The following is a 5,668-nucleotide window of genomic DNA, read 5'->3' as shown; positions in this document are numbered from 1 at the left end:
ACTAAGACATTTAGACTTGAAAGCCTCTAGATCCAGACAGAATAGCTGAGCCCTTTTATACAGAGATAGAGGGAGAATCAAGTCTCTGCAGAGGCCAACAGGTGGCAAAGGGGCATACAGGCTTGACACCTCTTCCCCTATGCCCTTCATTTGTCCATGGGGCATTCCTGGAAACTGGTTAAAAACAGACTAGTGAAGTTAAAATGGCCTTTCCCCGAGGAACGATATTAACATTATAGTGGGTTCTTGAGCTAAAACCAGGAACCAAAGACAAGAAATCCATGACCAATAATAAGTTGGAGAAAAACAGACAAAACAACCATAGGCACATAAAATAACAGAAATGACTCTCCACCATGGAGTCTCAAACTCACAGTTATGATGGGTAAAGCCACTGAGGAATGGGTGAGACTAAAAGTAGTACTGTAAGAAGGGGGCTGTCCGTAATGTGGGGGCTCTGGGAGTAGGAGAAGTGGCTTGAGAGAGGGAAGGAAGTTTAGGACAAACATGAGGAAAGCCAGCTTCCCACAAGATAGGAAAAACATAGTAGCTGGTGCAGGGGCTTTGGCATGAAGCAGGCGTAAAACGTCCCATCCCCACCACTCCCTAGCTGTGTAACTTCAGGGAAGCAGCTTCTCTTCCATGGATTCCAGGTTCCTTGTTGGTTAAAAGTAGGTAATAATGCCTAGCAGGAAGTTGTCAGGATTTGGTGACTGGCATCTCAAATTTAACATGTCCAAAGTAGCCCTAAACCTGTGGTTTCCATTGTCTTTTCATTTTAGTTAATGACCTCTTCATTCTTTCACTTGTTCAAGCCCAAAACCTTGGAATCATTCAATCCTGTGGGCTCTCTTCTAAATTCATCCAGACTGTAACCACTTTTCTCATCACCTCAATCACTCCACACTGGCCCAAGCACCAAGCCTTCTCACCTGAATCACAACAAAGCCCCCGCCCCACCCCACTACCAGGTGTCCTCACTTCCACCATTGACTGCTACAGTGTGAATCCACACAGCAGCACATAATCCCATCAATCACTCCTCTCTGCTCACACCCCCCTCCCGCATTTCCATCTCAGAGTAAAACTCAAAGCCCTACTCTTGATCTACAAGGTATATGGCCCCTGCTAGCCTGGACAGTATCTGTTTCCACTTTCTCTCCTGCCAGCCTTGTTGCTATTCCTAGATCTTGTCTGTTGTTCTCCTGAGTAAGCGGGAGTTGAAAATCAGCTGGAGTACATTGAGATGAAAAGGCCCAAGGGATTTGGGTGTGGCACAAAAACATGTCTGCTACCCTCAGGGAACAGAGGAAAGAGAATCTGGGTGCATGGCCCAGCCAGAGCTGGGAGGGTTTTGAGCATCCTTCCTGCCTTTTCTCAACCTAACATCAGAGCCCACCTGAGGAACTTCCCGGGAAGCCCCCGTTACCTCTTCAGTCCTCCCAAAGCCATGGCCCTGTCTTCTATCAAGGAAAACCTTCACTGTTCTGTTATCTGGAGTTCAAACAAGCCAGTAATCCCAATCCCTTTGCATTTTGTGGCCCCACCCATTCTATCATTCTATCCTCCAGACTTCTGCCAAAGTGAGCTTTCCAACTTACTTTGGAATTTTTGGACTCATTTTCCAACTTAATTTAGATATTTTTTCCAAGTATCCGCCAAAGATATTTTAAATTATCTTTTTAAGTAGATTCATTTATCCTCTCTACCTCTTTTTTTTTTTTTTTTTTTTTTTTTTTTTAGTACCTACTGTATGCCAAATACCTGCTAGCCACCTTGGAGCAAGACATGCTTCAAAAGTGAAGAAGATAAGTTGTGTGAACATGAGAAAATTACTTGTTTTCTCTGCCTTAGTTGCCTTATCTCTAAGATAGACATACTTCCTTTCCCCAAGGAGCTGATCCACCACAGTCTTTAGTGGAATAGGTGGCAGAATTAATCCGTTATTTAATATGCATAAAGTCTATGAAGATAGGGTGGTCATTCCTTCTGAGCACATGGTAGGTACTCAGGAAAATCGCTGGTTGTTTGATTTAAATCTGCAATTAGTATTTGGTATTATGTGCTGCTTGGCACCTTACTTAAACCTGTGCAGGATGGAGATAAGTTAGACTCTGTCTCGCCTCCAAAAAACTGACAGTTTAGTGGGAAGACAGAAGCACAGGCAAGTCTGTATAATGTCTGTAAGAATGGGCTTTAATCAAGGGATGAACCAACACCACTGGTGCTCAGGGAATGAATCACTTTGCCTGCAGAGGTCAGCTGGGCTTCCTCAAGGGATAGGACATTTGAGCTGGGCCTGGAAAAGTGAACCCACTTGCCTCTTACTCCCTCCCAAGAGAAAAGTATGGACAAAGGCAGGGCAGTGTGGGACAGCATGGCAGGCGTAGGGAGCCATGAAGAGAATGGTGGTGGGCAGACAGCGAAGAGGAGCAGAGTGGGGTTGAGGCTTCCCTCTGGATCACAGAGGGCCTAGGGGGCAGGCTAAGGAATTTGCATTAGCTTAAAGCTATTGAAGCACCCTGGAGAGGTTCATACTGGAGCCATTCCCAAGGAAATGGTAATGTTATATGACAGTTAAGACCACAAACTCTGGCACAGGACACGTTTGCATTCAAATCTTAGCTCTTGTAACCTAAAAGCTGCTTGAACATGGAAGAGTTACTCTGTGCCTTAGTTATTTCATCTGTAAAATGGGTATAATAATAGTACGTACCTCAAAGGGTTAAATATGAGGCTTAAGTAAGTTAATTCTTATAAAGTATTTAGAACTGTGCCTGGCTCATAGTAAGCACTGAAGTGTTAGCATTAGCATCAGCACTATCACTCTTTTAATTATCTGAATTTCCTCCTAGAGTGCCCGTCCATGAGGGTGGAAAACCTGTTCATCTTGCTTGTCCCATGATCCCAGTGTCTAGAAAAGGATCTGGCATATAGTAGGTGTTCAATTAATGTTCACTGAATGAAACAAATGGCAGACTGGATGGGCTGGTCCTCCTGAGGCATGGGCTTCTCAAGCCTCTGGAGACCCCAAAGTTAGGCAATACCTCCTGTCCTGCCTGGATGCTAGGAAGCAGGCTCAGCTGGGGCTTGCTCAAGGGTCCAGAGTCACCCACTCATGCTCCACAGACTTTGCCAGCTGCAGACACACTTACCCTCATCAGGGCCTGCCTACCCCAGGACACAGCCACACAGCCTTAACCTGCACCTTCAAAGTCTGCCTCTCATTACCTTGATGGGCCGTCGTGTTGCCACCTCTCCTCAGCCAGGGGTCTAGAAACAGGCCATTTCTAGGGAACTTCTGCTTTCCATCCTCTAGTATTAAAACCACCCAATGATTCTCAGTCCCTTGCAGTCAGGTCCCCTCCAGACCCTCCTCCCTGCCTCTGCCCAAGTAAGCCTTCCACATTCAAATCTTCTTAGGTCGCTTCTGTGCTTAAAACCCAGCCCTGCTGTCACTTGTCCTCCAGATAAAGTCCAAACACTTTAGCACAGCTGCTTACCAAACCCTACACAGTCAGCCCCAGACCATGTTCCCAACCTCACCCTCCAGCTGCATCATTGCTCTGAGACCCTTCTCACTTTGTCCACCAGTATGCAGCTCCCCAAATGCCCTTGTCTTTACACGTCTGCCTAGAGCTCCCTTCTCCCCCTGTGCCCCCAGAAAACTCCTCTGCAACCCATTAAGACCTACTTCAATTACAATTTACTCCATGGCACCCCTCCCCAGGCACCCTGTTATGGCTTAATAAAGCTGTTTTATAGCCACTTACAATTACGTTTATATTTCTGTCTCAACCACAGGACTGAGAGACTTTGAAGGAAGGGCTGGAACTGTCTGGTTTTGGGGGTTTTTTTTGTGGGTTTTTTTTTTTTACTTATTTAGTGCCCAGTTCAGAATATGGGACATAATAGTCACTCAGGAAGTGTTGTTTGGTTGGTTGGTTGGTTAGTTGATCCACTGGCAGAATGAATGAATAAATAGCAAGCTCTCTGTACTCCTGTGATCCTGGCATGTAGTAGGGGTGCAGTGAATGTTTCTTGTGTAAATTCATAGATAAAGTGCCCCTCCATTGGCCTTCTACGTTGGATTTTTGTTCAGCACAAGCCCCACCTAATACACATACACATAAACACACACACACACACACACACACACACACACACACACAGCTCTTCCAACGCCCTCCTTTCACTTTTTCTAAAAGAACCATTTGGTGAGCACTGACTTATTTAACTATAATCTAATAGAATTCATTTTGTATTGGGATATAAAAAGAATATATTCAAATTTGTAATCTTCGAGAAGTTCTTTTCAAAACATGGCCAAGAATTAGCAAGTGGTCCCATGAAATTTAGCCAAGGAACAGCTGATGAGCGGATGTTCTTTCTTGGGTGCCCCTGCCTGCTCCCCCACCCTACTCTGCGCATGTGAGGCCCCGGCCCAGCCTTTCTTCCTTGGCATTGAGTAGACACCTGTGGCTGTACTGTAATCCCCAGGTAAGCCACCCACACATAGCCCAGCACCACCCCCATCCTGGTCATGGAGACATCAATAGCTGGGCGCACCTGCAGGCCAGCTGGTCACTGATCCATGGGCAAAGCCCAGGAGGGCTGAGGTCCCTGCTTTTGAAGAACTGACAGGGCTGCCCTGCTGAGCCTGACCCTTGACCTGCAGGTGGGCACAACCATTGTCCCTACATGTCCCAACCACTGTCTGCCCCGCTGCAGGGACCCGTGAAGGTATCCATTTCAGGTCAGTGCAAAGCAAAACAAACAGAAGGGCCAAGGGGCAGGGGTTTGTGTGGAGGGCTTTGCTGGGCAAGGAAGCCACTGTTGAAAGTACAGGTATAATCCTCTCCAGGCAGGCCCCACCAGCCAGCAGGGCGCCACCTGCCATGAAGCTATTTATAAACACGTGGCCTGGGTTGAATCTCCAAAACAAGAGATGCTGTAAATCGGGGGCTCTACAGGCATTGGAAGATGCTTCAACATCAGAAATAGGAGAAAGGAGGTGGAGCGATCTCCCTGCCATACACCAGAAGCTGAAGCCAGCACAGACCTGGCAGAAGAGAGCTGGCAGAGCCTCTGCAGAGCCCAAACACTACAGACAACTACCTCACTGTCAGACTCCAACAGCAGGAGATGAGTCCATTCAAGCCATAGCATTTCTGGCAATCATCAATGTGCTACTGGCAAAGAGTAGAGTGTTTGTGAATGAAGGCTTCGGGGGTCGGAGCGGGGGTTGTATCATTTAGCAGGACAGACCTATATCTTGTTTCTAATTCTGGTTCAGCCACAAACTAACTGTGTGAACTCAGATAAGTGACAACCTCTTGGAGTCTCAGTTAATTCACCGATAAAACAGGCATGTCAATGTCCAACTTGAAGGGGTGTTGTGGGGATCAATTGTGTTCAAAATCCCCTGGTCCCCCCTTCAGCCTCTCACTTCCTATAATCCACCTGGCTCAGCCAACCAAATATAGTCATATGCTGCATAATGACATTTCAGTCAATGATGGAATGCATATAGAATGGTGGCGCCAAAAGATGATAATAGCTGAAAAATTCTTATTGCCTAGTGACATAGCCATCATAATGTCACAGTGCAAAACATTACTCATGTGTTTATGGTGAGGCTGGTATAAACAAACCTACTGTGCTGCCA

At 46.4% G+C, this 5,668-nt stretch overlaps 1 annotated feature.

Annotated features, from left to right (window-relative positions):
* Positions 4,641-5,141: an enhancer, noted in NCBI's record as "H3K4me1 hESC enhancer chr3:138875938-138876438 (GRCh37/hg19 assembly coordinates)". NCBI's record gives its function as "activates a minimal SCP1, AML or CMV promoter by ChIP-STARR-seq in primed H9 embryonic stem cells {active_cell/tissue: H9 hESC(primed)}" and the evidence as "EXISTENCE:reporter gene assay evidence [ECO:0000049][PMID:30033119]".

Source organism: Homo sapiens, chromosome 3, assembly GCF_000001405.40.
Source record: "Homo sapiens chromosome 3, GRCh38.p14 Primary Assembly".
NCBI classification, from domain to species: domain Eukaryota; kingdom Metazoa; phylum Chordata; class Mammalia; order Primates; family Hominidae; genus Homo; species Homo sapiens.
This window is presented reverse-complemented; position numbering and strand designations above follow the sequence as displayed.